Below are 19,081 nucleotides of genomic sequence, written 5' to 3'. Positions count from 1 at the left end.
TGTGACTATAAAACCCTGATCTCTGCCTCTGTCCTCACATGACATTCTCCTCTAAGGCTCAAATCTCCCTCTGCCTTTACAGGGACATTTGTCATTGGATTAGGACCCATGCAGTTAATCAGGATGATCTCAAGATTCTTAATTACATCTGCAAAGACTTTTTCCTTCCAAATAAAGTAACATTCACAAGGTCTGGGTATTAGGACATGAACACAACTTTTAGGGACCACCATTCAACCTACTGCAGAGAATGACTAAAACTTCAAACACCATCCGAGGTTGATAAATTCATGGCTTAGGTGTAACATGCAGTACACCCAAGCCAGAAGTAAAGCTAGTGGAGGCAAATCTGTGTAAGGTTCCTTTTACCTGGTTTTCCCACAGTGGGCACCAGATTCTTATTGTAAGAAATATATAAAGTGTACCTAACTCATTTAATCACTCATTCAATAGCAATCTGTTGAGTTCCTTTTATGTGCCAGAGTCTGAGAATCAGGATAAGCCAAAGAAACTGCCCTCCTAAGGATTATTTTCTAATGAAAGGAGAAAATTAAATAATCAAATAAACAGGATTATTATATAATTTAATAAATGCTATGAAGAAAATAAATAAAGTAATGCAATAAAGAGTCACTGGGAACAAGACATGCTGCTTTACAAAGGGCAGTCAGGAAAGATTCTCAAAATAGATGACATTTGTGCTGAGTGCCAAGAGATGAGGGCGAGCCAGCCACGCGGAGATCCCAGCAAAAGTTTTACAGGATGAAGAATAGCAGGGATAAGGGCCTGAGGTGGGGAAAGGATCAATGTGTTCTAGAAAAAGGTGGAGGCCAGAGAAGCCAGAACATAGTGACTGGTGGAAAGCATGGTGCAAGGATAGCACTGGGTACACTAGAGCCAGGTCATTGCCAGGTCTTACGGCTCATGGTGCAGGGTATGGATTTTATTCTATGGAAATAGACACTAAAGGCCTTAAAGAAGAGTGATGATTTGGTTTCTATTCTTAAGAATTAGCGGCCACGGTGTCAGAAATGACTTGGTGGGGCAAGAATGGAAGCACGCTGACCAATTAGGTTATTGTAGTAAACTAGGCAAGGATGAGGACGCTTTAGACTAAAGTGTTGTTAGGAATATGGAGAAAAATGGAAATCATTTGGAAGTTGGATTGTTCAAATTCAGTTACAGATTACATGCTAATGGTGAGAGAGGGAAGATGAAAAGATGACACCATCAATTTCAGGGCATAAATCCTCCCCGCTATAAACTATGTTGCCCAATCTTTCTTGAAGTTAAGTATGATTGTGTAAGTTCTACACAAGCAAATGTGAATAGAAGTGACACGAACAACCTCTGGGTCACACCCACAGGAAGAAGCTTGTTCTTCATTCCCTCTTTCCTCCTCCTGATGGCTGGGAAATGAGACATCTAATGGAGCTGCTTGACATCTAGAGAAAGAAGTCACATGTTAATGATGGCAAAGCTGTCCCAGTATCCAGGATCCTTAGATGGTCTCACTGAGCAGGACATGCCACCTGCCCTGAACTGCTCACCTACCTTGCTCTCTATTATGTGAGAAATAAAATTCTATCTCATTTAAACCCCCCTCTTTTGGGACAGGGGTTTGTTGCAGCAGCCCAGTTTATATCCTAACTAATACTCTCAGAAATGACTTCAAGCTTCCCAAATTCTCTTTTTCTCTCTAACGTGAATGTTCTGTTCTTACATTCTCATTCTCTTTCCTGTTTCCTGCCAAGATATGAGTTCTGCTTTCTGTGATAATGAGGCCAGAGCATCAGGGTCATTTAAAGCCATGTTGATGGAAAGAGTTTCTTCCTCTATAAGAGTCCAAAGTCCAAAGGATTCTTGTTGCACAATATCATGACTCATACTGTACAATCCATTAAATATCACCTTAGGTACAGGAAATGATGAGTATTAACTGTTCAAATATTTTCATACCAAATATTGTATTGATTACACAGGGACTCAACACTCAAGTTAAGACGTGTAAATTCTGGGTAGAATTTTAACACCAGTCTAGGAATTCAGTAAAGAGCTTGGATCTCAGGACTTAAAGCATTAATTGTAGAAAAATAAATTAACATTTAGTGAGAAAATAATTACATAGATTGTGTAATTGCATAGTATTTTTTCTTTATTTTTAGCATAAACTCTAATATGAAATGAATCCTTTCGGTTAACTTTAGTTGTATTCAGAGTATATACAATTTATAATTACTTTTCTACATCTAGGAATTTATTGTATTGAAAGTAAGTTCACACACACAAAAATCTGCTGTTGCTCTCCTTGGGGATTGGTAACAACACAAATGATAAGAATTATCCCCTCGTAAACAAGGAAAGTCACAACATTTAAGGTGCACTACCGTGCATTTAAGTCTGTATTTTGGATTAAATAGATAATGTTCTATCAAATATTATCAATTATTAAATATGTTAAACTAATAAACTGAAAGACATTTTAATTATGCCATTTTATAACTAAAATTGAACCCTTAAATATCTTGTTCAAGTGGAATGTCTCTCAAAGAACAGTAACATATCTAATCAATATTTATAAAATACTACTTAGCATTTAAACTTTAAAGTTGAAAAGAACTTTTGTACATTTCACTTAATCTTTACAATAATAGTAAAAGGTATTACCATCAAACTTTCGTAAGTTAACACCTTTATGAGATTATGTAAATTGCCCAAGTTCATTCATCTAGCAGATGACTGGGCTTATACCAAGGTTTTTGTTTTTGTTTTTGTTTTTGTTTTTTGAGACAGAGTCTCGCCCAGGCTGGAGTGCAGTGGTACAATTCAGCTCACTGCAACCTCGGCCTCCCAGGTTAAAGCAATTCTCCTGCCTCAGCCTCCCAAGTAGCTGGGATTACAGGTGCCCATCACCATGCCTGGCTAATTTTTTTTTTTTTGTCGGGGGTAGAGATGGGGTTTCACCATGTTGGCCAGGCTGGTCTCAAACTCCTGACTTCAAGTGATCTACCTGCCTCAGCCTCCCAAAGTGCTAGGATTACAGGCAAGAGGCACTGTATTCAGCCCAAGATCTTCTATTTCTACCTTCAGTGCTCTTTACACTCAATAGCTGCTTAGAGTATATAAAGACCTAAAACCTAACAAACTAGCTTGCCAGTGCTAGATGTGCCGCTCTCCATAATTTTTCATAATTAAAGTAGGAAATGCTATGCAGGAACTGACTGTATTTTTTTTCTTTGTTACAACCTTCTTAAATTATATATTATATATTTTAAGGGATTATATATTAAGGAATTAAGATATGTATAAATAGAAAAATAATATATTCTGAAAATAATCACAATATTTCTCCCCCCCACCCGCCACTTTTCCCACTCAGAACTATTCTGCCACCAAAATCCTGAGGGTTATGAAATCAATGGACATGTCCTTTCTTCCCATTTCTCTACCCCACGTCTCCCATTAAACAGTCTCCCTGTCTTCATTAAGTCATTTTGTCCCTTGGCTCCTTCCTGTTCTCCCAGACCAATAATCCCAGTGCGGCTCCTTTTTCTTTTCAACTCAGCCTGGGCATCACAGTTACTTTCTTAGTTCGTAGTTCATTGGTTGTCACACTGGTTGTTCTCAACCTCCTGACCCTCAATAGTTCTCACCGTGCTGATTCCCATGGTCTATTCTTTCTGTCCCTACTTCCACAGAACTTGTATTCTCACAAATGTTACAGAGCCATGGTAATTTGTTCACCATAATAAATTCATAGAATCTAGTCTTAACTGGACCCTTCACAGGCCTCTCATTCAGCTTATTTGATAAACACCAAGTATTTGTTGAGCACTTTCAAAATGCCAACTATTGCACTATGATTTTAGGATATAAAATGAATAAGACAGACTCCCTTTTCTGAAGAAGTCACAGTCTCAGGTACCCACTTAAATGTTCTTTGGAAACCTCTACTTTTAAGCCCACTCCTCATTTTCATCACATATGTTAGTCTCTCATTTAACCAAAAGGTTGATATGGCTAACCTGAGCATCTTCAAAATCCTTCCACTTCATCCTGAACCTCTGCATTAGTCAGGATTCCCCACAGAAACAGAAGCAATAGGACACGTATATATGGGTCGACTCAGGGTCTACTACTTTGAATGTTGATTCATCTTTAAAAGTACCTTCACAGCAAAATCCAGACTGGTGTTTCACCAAACAACTGAACACCATAGCCATCAAAATCTCTATCTTCATACTTCTTTCTTAATTGTAGTCTCTCAAAAGATGTTCTGCTTTTTTGCTAATGTGAGCTCTTGATCTCCCCTCTTGTATGTGTGCGTGTGTGTGTGTATATACATATATATATGTATATATAAAGTATGTATGTGTATATATATGTATATATAAAGTATGTATGTATGTGTATGTGCATGTGTGTGTGTGTGTGTGTGTGTGTGTGTGTGTGTGTATATATGTAGAGAGAGAGAGAGAGAGATTTATTTTAAGGAATTGCCTAAAGCAATTGTGGGGCTAGCAAGTTCAAAATTTGCAGGGCAGGCCAGAGACTCAGGGAAGAGCTGATGTTGCAGCCTGAAACCCAAAGGCAGTCTAGAAATAGAATTCCTTCTATTCCTTCTTTCTCCGGGGACCTCGGTCTACGCTCTTAAAGCCATCAACTGATTGGATGAGGCCCACTCACCTTAAGTCATCTGCTTTACTCAGGGTCTACTACTTTGAATGTTGATTCATCTTTAAAAGTACCTTCACAGCAAAATCTAGACCGATGTTTCACCAAACAACTGAACACCATTGCCACCAAAATCTCTATCTTCATACTTCTTTCTTCATTGTAGTCTCTCAAAAGATGTTCTGCTTCCTTGCTAATGTGAGCTCTTGATCTCCCCTCTTGTATCTCTTCCAAGAGTTTTTTCACAATGATGCTTTCTCTTTTGTATCATCAAACTCTCTATTTTCACTCACTTCTCCTTCTAGGTAAACATGTTCAAGTCCTAGCTTCAAACAGTCTTTCCTCTTTCTAATATACTCCGTAGCTACTACCCTTTGGTCTCTTTAACTTCATTACCATATTTCTTGCAAGATTAGTTTTCTGCATTTGTTGCTTCCATTTATCACCCATTTACTCTTCCTTACTTTGCTCTCTGGCTTTGTTTGCCATTGCTTTAGGAACCTACTACTTTTTCCAGTTTGGCTCTCCTCAACCCATTCTTATAGAAATGTCCCACAGTCTGATTCTTCACCTCCACCTCTCTCTAATTCTTATTTACCGCAAGGTCAATCAAGGGCAGAAGCTGCAATTAGGGGACTTGAAGCACGGAAAGGGGAAGCAAAGGAAAAGGGTAAATGACTCACAATTTGAAACCCAACAAGGCTTGAAAATATTGCAATAAATAATATCATTTGTATGGTTAAATCAAAGGAAAATCTGGTGTGAGAAAGCCCTGTACTAGCATACTTGAGTTCTTATGTAGGAACTGCAACTTAAGTTAGTAGGTAAGCAAACTGAAAACCTAACTTAGGAGTATACCTCTGTAACAATAGCTGAGTCTCAGCCAATCATAGCAGCTGAGCTTCAACCGCTCATAGGCTGCTAACTGTCCAAACCATGTTCAAACAAGGCAAACACTGAGCTGTAAGCAACCCAGTTGTTTCTGTACTTCACCTTCCTTTCCTGTATGCCACTTTCCTTTCCTGTATGCCACTCTCCTTCTTCTGTCCATAAATCCTCTCCAGTCATGTGGCAGTCCGAGTCTTTGAATCTGTTCTGATTCTGAGGGCTGCCCAATTGGTAAATTGGTTCTTTTTTCTTTCTCTCAATTAAACTCTGTTAAATTTAATTTGTCTGAAGTTTTTCTTTTAATAATACCAAATAATACTTGTCTCAGGAAGGGAAGCAATCTTTCAATCACAGAGTTAATCTTTCAAAGAGATTGCAGAATATAAATTTTGCATAATTACTTACAAATTGTAGCTTTGACTACAAGTCGAGGGTCTTTGCTCATGAGGTTTTTCCAAAGCATAATTATAGATGATTGATTACTAGCTGACCATCTGTGTCCAATAATGGGAAGGTTTGGTCCAGACTAAGGAAAATCTCCCTAGAAATACAAAGTTTAGAAATTGTTGTAATTGATTTCTAGTCATCCTAACAGTAACAAAAATACATGAACAAGAATATCTCAGAGGATAGTCATATTGCTATAGATACCTATAGAGGCAGACATAAAAAGAAAACAGCTATTGCTTCTCCTGAAACACATGACATGGCAAATGTTAAGGAAAAGACTAGCTTGCATAGAAAGATTCCAGAGTTGCTGAAATCCCCAGATATATATTATTAATTCTTCTCTCAGTTCTGAATTTGTGTGATAATCAGAATGAGAAAAAGCTCATTCCCAAATTGTTTTAGAAAGGGGAACTATTAAATGAGAAAACCTGATAGTGGGAAATACGTGTCCCTTAAACTAACATACACCCAAATTAGTTGCGGAAGTAAGGCAAAGGGATATTTATGAATGCTTTGGCAAAAAGAAACCATTTTGCTCAACCCCTTCTGTTTCGGGGGAAGTGGCTTGAAATAGCTAAATCTTTGCAAATGAATAATTTATGAAAGCTCCAGTACCCTTTGAATAACATAATTTAAACTGAAGACATTACAGCATAAAAGGAAAAAGAAGAACTCGCTTCAAATTCTTCTAATTTCAACATGAATTAACACATAGTTTTGATTTAAGATAATCTAATAATCATTTTTGTTTCATTATACCACTCTCAGATAACTCCCTGCTTATGTAGTCAAAGTACTACATAAAAATTAGAGTTCGAAGTCGCTTAGACGAACAAATTCATCTCACTGAAGACCTGGTTTAAGTCCATTTTAAAAATAAATTGTATCATAGATTGGTACATTTTAAAAACACATTCTGATTATAGATCAAAAGAGAAGACTTATGTACAAACAAGAATGGAAGCTGACCAACCATGTAAAAAACCAAGTCGATTATCATTTTTACTTATTGTGTCAAAAAAGGACTTATTTTATATCCCCGGCATTCTTTTTTAAAAGCTTATCTTCTAGTTAACATTTTGAAGTTACATAAATACAACATTATCATTAATTCCATATTTTCCTTAACAAGGCTATGTCTAAGAAATGAATAGAACAAATCTAGACTAAAGTAGCCTTTCCATCCTCTAATAAATAAAGAAAATCATGCCAAATATAATACAGCAATCAGTCAGCTGGTTAGTGCTTCGACAGTTCTCTTCCTAAATGCATTTAAAGATCTCATTCTTAACACCTCACCCACTTCACATGAGTTTAAGCAGTTTTCTTAATCAATGCTGTCTCTATCCCTTGAGCATACTTATATTACTATACTTAAAATGCTGTATAAAATTCAATTTGTTTACATGTATTTTTACCTGCCTAGATTAAATTCCTTAAGGTGCAGATTGGTGTATTCATCTTTTTATCCCCAGTACCTTGAAAATGGAACACTTTAAATCATTTGCAAATTGAAGGGCTAGTCCTATATTGTTAGGAAAATAGAGAAGGTGGTAAAAGAAATGAACACTGGAATAAAGTTCCTAAAGGGGGTAGAGGAAGCCGGCATATATGTGAATAATAAAACCATTTCTAGACCATTTTCTAATTGCTGATTGGTGGGATGTTGGGTCTTTTGTTGCGTGCTGCTTTTTTTTTTTATATGTTCCTCTCACAAGGTTTTGAGTGCTGGGTTTCCTAAGACTAAAAATATTTTCATCCTCAAAACTTCTAAACTCAGTTCCTAAACTCTTCATTCTCTCCATCATACTGGGAATGCAGCCAGGCTCTGCCCTAGCTCCATTCCACTTAATTGGGCCACATTCCATGCACACAGTTACATGTCAATGTTAATTAGCAATAAGCAATCCATAACTTACAATCAAGTTATTTTAGCAGGGGTTTCCTCAAAGATCCCAAATAACTACAAACAGTGGCTCCTTTGACCCTCCACAAGACTGTCTTCTCTTCTGTATTCTGATTTTTAAGCAGCAAGCCAACCAGACAGAATAGGAAATACATGCTGGAAAGGAAGAAGAAAACTATTTTAAAGCGAAGCTTCTAGTCCAGGCCTTTACTACAAAATTCTATTTAGACCTCACACCAACCTGGCACTATCCCTTTTTGGATTTGTAGGTAAAAATGACAAAGGTGAGGCCCTTACAATGGAGGAGAAAAAAAGCTTGAGACAGGCCTCCATTCCACTAGAATTCAGACATAGAAGCTCTTAAGTGAAAGAATCTGGAAATAAAAACCTTGGCCTATTATACACCCTAAGAATGTAATCTCACCAGCCCACACTGCCTCTCTAAAAGCTTGATTTAGTCTGCTTTCTACTTCCACACCTTCTAATTGTGGAATTTCCTTTCATTTTAATTCTCCTCCGGGCCAAACTCTGATTAAACTGACACATATGGTTTCTAGGATTTTGAAACTGAGCTCCCCCAGCAAGAATCTACTTACAGAGTAAACCAGTCAGCCCTCTTCCGTTTTCCCTGCTTGAAATACATAGGGCAGTGCTCTGGTAGGCAATTAATTGACCCAGACTCCCTTGCATTTTCTCTTCTTGTCTTCTTTGTGAAGACAAGACAAAAATTCTCCTCTGGCAACTGCAGGCTGGATATCAATTTACCACTAGCTCAGCACATTCCAAGTTAATGTACTTAGCTTTTTAGGATCCAGCACAATGTTAACATATTATTTACAACTCAAAGATAACCTTACTTTCTAAAACTTAATTGAAACTCTCACTTTTTAAAAGAAAAAGCATTGATGGCTCCTTAAGTAAGACTTATGGAACATAGCCTTTTCAAGTTGACACTCTAATGTCTCAGAGAAATGGCAGCTGGCAGGAAGACGCAGTAATAGAGAGACTGGCACGTCCATCCTAATAACAAAACCACTTACACGCGCTGGATTGCTTCTCTAGTCACATGAACATACAGGCTTTTCCCCACCTCTGCCTCTGCTCCATAAGCTTAGAGCTCAAAAAACTATGTGTCTTTTGCTTCCTTCGTTATCTCTATGTCAACTGATAGTTTTAGCAAGTCTAAAACATTTTCATATTCAACAAAAACAGCAAGGATATTTTAGCTATCTTTTGAACTTTTGTGAATACATATCTCTACATATTCATTGATATGTCTATACTTATGATATTTTATTGAGCACCTACTAGTATATGCCAGGCACTGTTCTAGGCCCTAGGAATAGGACAGGGAATAAGAAAGACAAAGTCCTTGCTTTCAGCTCTCATGGAGCTTCTGTTCTAGAAAAGAAGTTTATGTGGTTATTTTATATAGTTTAAGTTCTACAAAGAAAATAAATTAGAGAATGTAATGAAGCACGACTGAGGACCCCTTTGGAGACTGGAGCTGATTTCTGAATGACAAGATGACCTGGCAATGACAAGATAGGGAGCAGAGCATTCTAAACAAAGGATATAGCAAGTTCCACAGGCCCTAGATTTAGATGTGACTTTGGCCTGGTTGATGAATGGGAAGAAGGTCATTGTGCCTGGAGTTTAGTAAGAAAGGTAGAATGAGATGAAGTAGAAGAGAAGGCAGAAACCGGAATATGGAAATCTTTAAGGCGATAATAAAGAGTTTGTATTTTATTCTAATGGTAGAGGGAAGGCACTCGACAGTGGTTTATAATTTTTAAGTAACGCTTTAACTGCTACGTGGAGAATAGATGGTAGAATGGCAAGACTAGAAACAGAGAGACCACTTAGAGGTCATTGCAGAGGTCCACATGAGAGACAGTAGTAGCTTGTCCAAGTGGAAAATGAAAAGATGAAAAAAAAGTAGATAGGTTAAACAACTTTTTTGGAGGTAGAGCTGTCTAAACTTGTAGGATTATACACAGGGAGAGTAACCCTTTACTTGCATCTTTACTTGAGATGTCTATGACATATATCTGACTAAGAATGGACTTGGTTTGAAAAATAAGGAGGAATATTGTGGACATGTGAGATTCCTGCTAGACATTCAAGTGGAAAAGTCAAGCAGGCAGTTGGACATACAGGTGTATATCTCCAAACAGTGGTGAGAAATTTCTGCAAAGTCAAGACAGGGCACAATTTCACTGCAGAAAAATATCTGCCTAAGATGACTCATTTATCCATTTGTTTAGCCAACATCTAACAGCCACTGTGTACCTGACACTGCTCTAACTGATGGAATATAGATTCATAAGATGCATATTTTTCCTTATAAAAGTTACCATCCAAAGGGAGGACACAAATAACAAGCAAACAAATAAACACATATATGCCAGATAGTTATGAACATCATGATAAAAACAAATCGTGGTGGTAACACATATGCACTTGATAATGACTTATAAGCAAGTTCCTTTCATGTGAATATACCTTAATTTTGGCAGACATAGTTACACGGGTGGAAAAAGGACAATGTTTTGGTGACAAAAGAACTGGCAATCTGTCAGCTCTATCTGATGCAGGCTTTCAGGTGAAACACAGATACTCAAAATTCAGAAAGAACTCATAAATGCATTTACAAGTAGAAGAGGTAAAAAAGAAAAAAAGACATTCTGTAACAGTCTAAATTCAGCCTAACAAGATTATCAGAGCTCTTTTTCAAGTAAGACTTTATGGCCCATCCTCCCTCCCCATATCTGCTGCTCTTTTTATGTCTTCAGACAAAGAAACTAAAACAATAAAACATTTTTATCTGCTTTTATAACCTGATTCTGTGTGAAAATACCCACAGGGAATTTCCATTCTTTTTTGCCTTAAAATTCACTGGTATTGCTTCTCTCTAGTTTACTTGTCTCTCCCCTTGATGTTCAATTTCATTCTCTGTGACTAGTAGTATCAAGTTATCTCTATCCCTGAGAGAGAGACAAAGGTCAGTGCTAAAATAGTTGAGTCTGTGAGTGAGAGAAGTCATAAAAGGTCTCAAATCAACCTTGCCAGCTGTTTTTCCAAAGTCAAAGAAGAAAGTGAGAGGAAAACCAATAATCTGGAAGTTGATACAAATCTGATCCTAACATTTCATCTACCTCAGGAAGAACTACATAGTTGAGTACTGCAACACTGGGACTCTGAAATCACATTTTTACTGTAAGCTTAAAATAGAAGAGTAATATTCTGAAAGATATAACAAAAAAGCTGTGAGATTCCTATTTGATTTATATGATAATGCTTTTATAAAAAATAGAAAATTTCAATACCAAAAAGGACTAATAAATGATGATCCCCTTCCAAAGTTAAGTTGCAAACAACCATTATCTTAATGCCATACACTTGATACAATTAATTCAAAAATTAAACTTCTCTGACCTTACTAATCTTCTACAAATCTCCCCCTTGATAAAATACTGGCAAAAAAAAAAATTACTGGTGTACCTATAGTACCAATTACAGCTTAACTCTCAAACCAAAGTCATTGAAATTTACCTTCCTGGTCAAAAATTAAATTAGAATGTATTGAAACAGCTCCTATTCCAATTCCCAGTACTAAAGCTGCTCCTATAAAACTGTAATGTGACACATCTTTTTAGCACAGGATTTTTTTTTTTTTTTCGAGACGGAGTCTCGCTCTGTCGCCCAGGCTGGAGTGCAGTGGCGCCATCTCGGCTCACTGCAAGCTCCGCCTCCCAGGTTCACGCCATTCTCCTGCCTCAGCCTCCCTAGTAGCTGGAACTACAGGTGCCCGCCACCACACCTGGCTAATTTTTTTTTTTTTTTTTTTTGTATTTTTACTAGAGATGGGGTTTCACTGTGTTAGCCAGGATGGTCTCGATCTCCTGACCCCGTGATCTGCCCGCCTTGGCCTCCCAAAGTGCTGGAATTACAGACATGAGCACTGTGCCCGGCCGGCACAGGTTTTCCATAGCTTAATCCACATTAGTGACATGGATTTTAAAAACTGGAATCAGATTTCAATCATTGTAATAGAAACTTGTAACTTGATTGGAAATGGAGTGATAATGAAGGAGTGTATAAAGGAATTAAATAAAACTCAAATGTCCCACTTAAATAAAATCATATATCTTTGTGAAGTAAAATCTGCACTTAAGGGTATATATTGGTATTTTCATTTTAAAGTTCATATTTACTTAAAAAATCAAAAAGATATATTTTCCACAAGATCTTTTGCAAACTTCCTCCATTTTCCTACTATCCCCAGACACAACCAGAAATAAGAAATTTCTGTTGACTAAATATTTGTCCTGTGGCAAACCTCTCTGCATTCACCATTTTTCAGCTGCAACTACTGAGATAATTTTTTTAATTTACTTCTGGCTCAGTATACCAGTCTTAAAATAACACTGAAGCATTGCTCTTAGAAGACGTGTATTAATCAAATGTTGCTGTAGGAATATGGAATTGAATGCATGCTTAATTGATAACAAAGTAAAGAGAAGTTGACAGTAGTTTTGAAGGGCTATTAATCTGTCCCTTTCTAATATTAATGTACTTAAAAACCGAAACCAAAATGTTCAATAATCAACCAACACTAATAAGTGAGATTAGAAAATCATCATGTTTCTGCATTTACTTTCCTTTCATTGGAAAGGCATGAAATTCTGTAAAGTGAAGATGAGCTTTTAAATCTACCTGTGGTGACTTCAACAGAATTATCTGTCTATTAATATCATTTCTGGATTTTTTACCGTAGTTAATTCTATATCAAATTATGTTACTTCAAAATGAAACTTCGTTTCTCCTGAAAAAAAAAAAAAAAAACTCATAAAACCAATGACAATTAGAAAAAAAATCTTGTAAAATCCTATCATTTGTAGCAAGAGCTACAAACAATAAACAATATAGCTGGGCAGGTATCTAAGGGAAGAGGATTCCAGGCAACAGGACGAGCCAGCCCAAAGCCCCTTGGAGTGAACCTACCTTAGTACAGGTGAAGCCAGTAGAGACTTTGGAGTAAAGATTGGAGAGTTCGGACCAACTTTTAGATCATTCTGCCTGCTCAGTAGAGGAGCAAAATTACTCTTGGAAATCATCATAATTTATATGAATATTTGCTCTATATTTTCTACTGAGGCCATACCAAAATCTAAATAATCTTAGATAATCATTATTAAATAATTCTCATTATCTTCTTCAATATATTACGTTGGTGCAAAAGTAATTGTGGTTTTGCCATTACTTTTGCACCAACCTAATAGTAATATAAGCAGAAATAATCTGTATTTAATAGTGTAATCTTACTTACATGTCATTTGCAATTCATAATTGTCTAAAAGTTATCTTGCTATCACTGCTTTCACCAACGGTAGGGTCAATGTTGATTGAAGAGGAAAGTTGGTGTGTTTACGTTTTATTAACACAACAAATATGTATTGAATATGCCACTATGTGTCATGCAGCATGGGAGGCATGAGAGATATATAAGTGACAAAAAAGATATTGTCCCTTCTTTCACAAAACATATAATCTCATGGTAGGAGTTACAGTAAAGCACCTTGTAGAAAAAAGAGGTTTTGCTCACTTTTTTATAAAAAAGTTTAATGTTTGAATCTTCTGGTTAAGAAACAAATTGTCAGAGGCTTTTCAGACACTTAGCAATATCATGCCAATATTCACACAATCATTTCTTCTTCAGTTATATAGATAAGAAGAGAAAGATCTCAGGTAGCCAGCTTGAGTTACATAAGAAAATCTCATTATTTTTCATGACACCCAATTTTATTCTCTTCTCCAAAATTATAAGACCTAGCATGATCAGCCACTTTATTTACCAGAGTTCACACCAAATAATTTTTGACTGGGTGCAAAATCAAACCCAATCATAAATAATGAAAAATTACCATTATCGACAATATGCAGAAAACTTTGCTTAAAGCTCTGAAGGTAATTTCTACAAAGAAGTCTCTAAAACATTTTAAGTAAAGGCAGAAACACTAGAGTGCTTTTTTTACAGTGAATATAATACTTTTAATACAAAATCCATGTTTACAAAAAAAAAAAAAACTACCTCTCATCAGAAGCACCTTCTATGTACTTTTATGTAGCTTATTGACAGTTTATAAAGGGACACCTGCCAGGCAAGGACTTAAACACTAATAGATACTGTTCATCGATTTTCAGTGTAATGATTTATTTAGCTATTCTTCCCTGAATTCAAACAAGGGTGTGCATGGGCGGGCGCCCGGGTGTGCATGGTTGCGCGCTCGGGTGCGCACGTGCGCACACGCACGCACACACTCACACACACACAAATGGGAGTCACCAGCAGCTTCTGCAGAAACAGGAGAGTCCAGCAAGTGCCAACAGTTTCAGTAGCAGTTTAGGAGGAACACCTCACTTCAACTGCTTTGACGGATATTTTGTACAATCTGTCTAGAGCTTTGTGCCAGCAGAGGAGCACAATCACATTCACTTACCAAGTACTGTCAACTGGGCCACAGTAGTGGCAGCAGAAACAGGAAATTGTGCTGATGGGATATATTTCTTGATGAAAATGGCCAAAAGTAGAACCTTCTATTATTTCATGAATGCTTGCTCTACTGTATGATTAGGAACTACAGTAATCCCAAAATGAATAAAGTCCTACCCCTATGGGAGAAGAAGAAACAGTCTCTTTTGAATGAATGAATTTTAGAGATCTTCAAAAATCGGTGTGGCTAGTCATCTATAAACCAAAAAGTCTCCATCATTATGTGCCGGAGATATTAATATCAGGATGCCAATCTACTGAAAAAGAAGACTCTCCTCCTACTTTGAGACGGAGAGAATGGTCCCAAGATTGAAAGGAAATAGACTTACTGATTTAAAAGGAAAGTGTTTTACAAGAGTCAAGATCCCTACCAGATGGGATATTAGAGAACTTCTTGGAAGTCAGCAGCAAAGTGATTGGTCCTCAGAGAGGACCCTACAAGGGCAGAGACTGAGGTGTCTGGTAATTCTGGTAAGGATACAGGTAAAAAGGAGCTCAGCAGGAGCCAGGTGGATTGTGTCAGAGCTTGGAGGCAACAGTGGGTTATTTGAGGATCAAAGTTTATTCAGAGTGTAGATCTCATGTTAAGTCTTCTTACCACAATAAAATAAAATAAAATTGTGCTGAAAAAAATGTTAAAGACTGTGCTGTTTAAGTTTTATATAAACTTAAAGAGAGACAGAGAGAGCAAGAAAGTGCCCTTAATATGTAATCAAATTACTTGTAAATATTTCTCTGTCTCAGGTATGCTTAACGAGAAACCACAAAGGAACTCCATCCAAATAGAGGCTAGAGTTTCCTAAGGAGAAAGAAACATCCCTGGGGACTGAGCTAGTTCATCAGTACAGAGACAAAATTACAGAAATTGAGGGGAAAAGTACAATTCTGGGAGAAAGCAATGGAGACTACTGAATTCACACTCACTGCCCCTCTGGAAACTGTGTTCCAAGATCTCCCTCACTCAAAAATTGGATGGCTTTTTATTTTGTTTTTACCAAGTAAAATGGTTCCCTTGCAATAACTCTGTTTTATAATTGTTTTATCATCACTGTTTTCTTTTCTACAAGCATGATACTGTGCAACACAACAATTTCTTTGCCAACTTCAGTAACTCTGCATTCCTAAGGTCGCCACTGAGGCATATGCTCAAGCTAATTTCTAGGCCTTTGTAATTTAAACTCTTCTAGCTGGATAATTTGGACTAATGCCCAATAATCCACCCATTAAAACCAACACTGTTTATTATGCTGTTCAAAGTAACAAAATGTTCCCAGATTCAATCATAACACAAAACAGTACAATTTCTGAAATCAACTTTAATCCAATTATTTATTCATACTGAGTTTTATGTTGGAAAGTTTTGCAAATGATTATAAAACCAGCGTCTAGATTAAGGATTGCTCACTAAAATGCCAGCAAGAAAACCTAAGTCTGTGATATAACACATGAAGGCCAATAAAGAGGTGAGAATATTGTTACAAACTGGGTAAGTACATTCAAACTCAAATTTTAATTGATTGTGCTGGACAAATAAAACATGTCTACAAGCTAAAGCCTCCAAATTAGCAGTTGTACCCTCAAGCTTAGCTGCATAACATAGGTTGCTTTATACTACTCTTTAAATCATTGGTAATAAGAAAGAACAAAATGGCTGGGCGCGGTGGTTCACACCTGTGATCCCAGCACTTTGAGGGTGGAGGCAGTTGGATCATGAGGTCAGGAGTTCGAGACCAGCCTGGCCAAATTGGTGAAACACCGTCTCTACTAAAAAAATACAAAAACTAGCCAGGCGCGGTGGCAGGCATCTGTAATCCCAGCTACTCGGGAAGCTGAAGCAGGAGAATCACTTGAACCCAGGAGGTGGAATTTGCAGTGAGCCGAGATCGCACCACTGCACTCTAGCCTGGGCGACAGAGCAAGACTCCATCAAAAAAAAAACAAAACTACCCTACCCTACCATAAAGTTATACGCAATCATCCAAAGCCACATACTGCACTGAAGCACTAGCAAAATATTAATTACCAAAGGACTTTAGTGCATATGTTAGAAGACTGATTTACTTTACATTAGCTTTATCACCATTTTATCTTCTAAGACCTTAGTTCCATGATTTTCTTTCTGCTGTTCCTATGAGTGAAAGGCCTTTCTCCCCTCTTCATTACAGTACTTCTTTATATCAACTCTACTACCTTATTTCTGTAAAAATCTTTGACCTTGTTTTTTAAGTCCCAATTAATAAGGCACCTCCCCCAGGTACATTTCCAAGGAAACTAAACATTCCTTCTTTGGGTTTTTATTGCACTTTGCTATATCTAAGTACTTACACATTTCAAGGTATATTACAGCTTTTTGTGAGGCCTTTGTGGGGAAAGAATATGTCTTATTCATCTGTATGTATTCAAGACCTTGTACCATACTTGGCATGTAGTATTTACATAAAAAATGAATGTGCATGAAGCAATAAATAAATGAGGGAATAAGTGGGTTTATTAGATAGTTTAATATTGAGGAATGCAAAATAATTACATTAAATCCCTTTCTGCTTATGGATGATTAGATAGGTCCAGAATTCCTTTAACTTTTCTTTTCAGGCCAGACGCGGTGGCTCACACCTATAATCCCAGCACTTTGGGAGGATGAGGTGGGTGGATCACCTGATGTCAGGGGTTCAAGACCAACATGGTGAAACCCTGTCTCTATAAAAATCCAAAAATTAGCCGGGCGTGGTGGTGCATGCCTGTAACCCCAGTTACTCAGGAAGCTGAGGCAAAAGAGTTGCTTGAACCCAGAAGGCAGAGGTTGCAGTGAGTCGAGATAGCACCACTGCACTCCAGCCTGGGCAACAGAGCAGCTCTGTCTCAAAAAACACTTTTCTTTTCAATATGTTTACCACATTTATTTCAAAAAGAAAAGCAGACTACTTATAATGTTAGCTTTGTACGTCATCTTACCACAATTCTCTTTATAAGCTGGTTCAAATCATCTTACTTGGCAAAATAGAGCTTACCTGATCATAGATTAAAATGTAAACTGTGTGACATAAAGTGGCATACAGCCACTGTCACCACTCTTCTGGAATGCATTAGTGCATTAATATCTTTCCAGAGTCCTGTCCTGAGTAATGGTTTAACAGAATTTAGAGCAGATAAGCTCCAGATTTCATCTCCCCCCTGCCCTATTGACCTGCTTCTGAAATTCCAACTGCCTGACGCAGTCAGCTAGGGCTTTCCTCTGCCTTTCCAATGAAAATTATATATTTTCCAATGTAAACATTTAATTAATGTTGAATTAACCGAACCCAAAATATCGATGATTTATGACAAAATTTAGTAAAGGAAAATAACCATTTAAAGGCCTCCCCAGGAGGGATGGAAGGGTGGCAAGGGTTGAAAACCTACCTGTTGGGCACTGTGTTCACTATTTGGGTGATGGGTTCACTAGAATCCCAAATCTTAGTATTATGCAATATACCCATGTCACAAACCAGCACATGTACCCCTTGAATGTATACTAAAATAAAAATAAAAATTTTAAACTAAACACCTTATATTTTCACCAAAAATTAAAAATTAAAACCTCCCCAAAAATGGAGCTTTCGCAAAATCTGAGTTTCTAATTTCCATTCCAATATGTTCCTTTTCTTTAATTATTTCATTTATGTATTCATTTCTCAAGATATTTATGTGTAAAGTGCATAGAGCTAGATATAAGACAGGGAAATGCCTTCATGCCCCCATGCAGTCAAAAGGGATTTAGAAACAACTAACTGATTATTACGATTTACTGTGAAGAATACTATAATCAGGAAAAGTGCTGAGCAAATGTTGGAAATGACAGAAGAAAATACTTCAGACTTAAAAAGCTGAGATATGCAGGAAAACAAATGTAGTTGTCCCTCGGTATCCATGGGGGATTGGTTCTAGGACCCCCAAGGATACCAAAATCCAGGGATACCCAAGTCCTTTATATAAAATGGTGTAGTACTTGCATATAACCTACGCACATCATCCTGTGTACTTTCAATCATCTCTAGATTACTTACAATACCTAATACAATGTAAGTGCTGTGTAAATAGTTTTGTTATATTATATTATTCTTATCTGTTTTATTTGGTGTTGTATTGTTATTTTCTTTTCTCAAATATTTTCGAACCTCAGTTGGTTGCATCTGGATATGGATACAAAGGGCCGACTGTAGTAAAAATAAATCTCCTGGGAAAGGGGAAATAAGACAACCACAGAGAGGAAGAAAAAGTATTTCTAAGCACATATTTGATCATTTCCCAAATTTCATACTTCATCATGTGTACAATACAAAGTATTCATTCTGAAACTCATAGTCAAGTTTTAGTAATGATGAAGTCATTTATATTTGACCAAGCCTCAGAAAGCTAACAATTATACCTCTCAACAAAGTTTTAAAAAACAAAACCATTTGAAGGCACCAGAGGGCAACCATAAGCAGGTAAAAACTATAGAAGATTAGGCTTCTGAAAGTATCAGGTTGTTGCAAAAGTATAATGGTGAAAACTACAATCGCAAAAGTAATTACTTATAATGGTGAAAACTGCAATTACTTTTGCAGAAACCTAAACCAAATTATGTT

The 19,081-nt window shown here is 36.9% G+C and overlaps 1 long non-coding RNA gene across 1 annotated transcript in view, besides 3 other annotated features; it reads right to left on the bottom strand.

The window, feature by feature from the left end:
• Positions 1-19,081, bottom strand: part of LINC01031 (long intergenic non-protein coding RNA 1031) — a 61,209-nt gene that overhangs the window by 8,747 nt on the left and 33,381 nt on the right. Inside the window, exons 2-3 of the long non-coding RNA NR_125789.1 lie at positions 7,932-8,074; positions 5,968-6,103 (exon numbers count right to left, since the gene is read on the bottom strand). This is a non-coding gene — a long non-coding RNA (long intergenic non-protein coding RNA 1031). The remainder of the gene's footprint in view (positions 1-5,967; positions 6,104-7,931; positions 8,075-19,081) is intronic.
• Positions 737-1,936: an enhancer, noted in NCBI's record as "MED14-independent group 3 enhancer chr1:193324401-193325600 (GRCh37/hg19 assembly coordinates)". NCBI's record gives its function as "activates an origin of replication core promoter dependent on BRD2, BRD4, P300/CBP and CDK7 cofactors, and independent of MED14, by STARR-seq in HCT116 cells {active_cell/tissue: HCT116}" and the evidence as "EXISTENCE:reporter gene assay evidence [ECO:0000049][PMID:35650434]".
• Positions 737-1,988: a biological region, named in NCBI's record as "MED14-independent group 3 enhancer GRCh37_chr1:193324401-193325600".
• Positions 1,694-1,988: an enhancer, noted in NCBI's record as "tiled region #5855; HepG2 Activating DNase unmatched - State 8:EnhW". NCBI's record gives its function as "activates a minimal TATA promoter and a strong SV40 promoter by Sharpr-MPRA in HepG2 cells {active_cell/tissue: HepG2}" and the evidence as "EXISTENCE:reporter gene assay evidence [ECO:0000049][PMID:27701403]".

This window comes from Homo sapiens, chromosome 1, assembly GCF_000001405.40.
Source record: "Homo sapiens chromosome 1, GRCh38.p14 Primary Assembly".
NCBI classification, from domain to species: domain Eukaryota; kingdom Metazoa; phylum Chordata; class Mammalia; order Primates; family Hominidae; genus Homo; species Homo sapiens.
The sequence above is the reverse complement of the archived record's forward strand: the minus strand, read 5'-3'. Positions and strand labels throughout refer to the sequence as shown.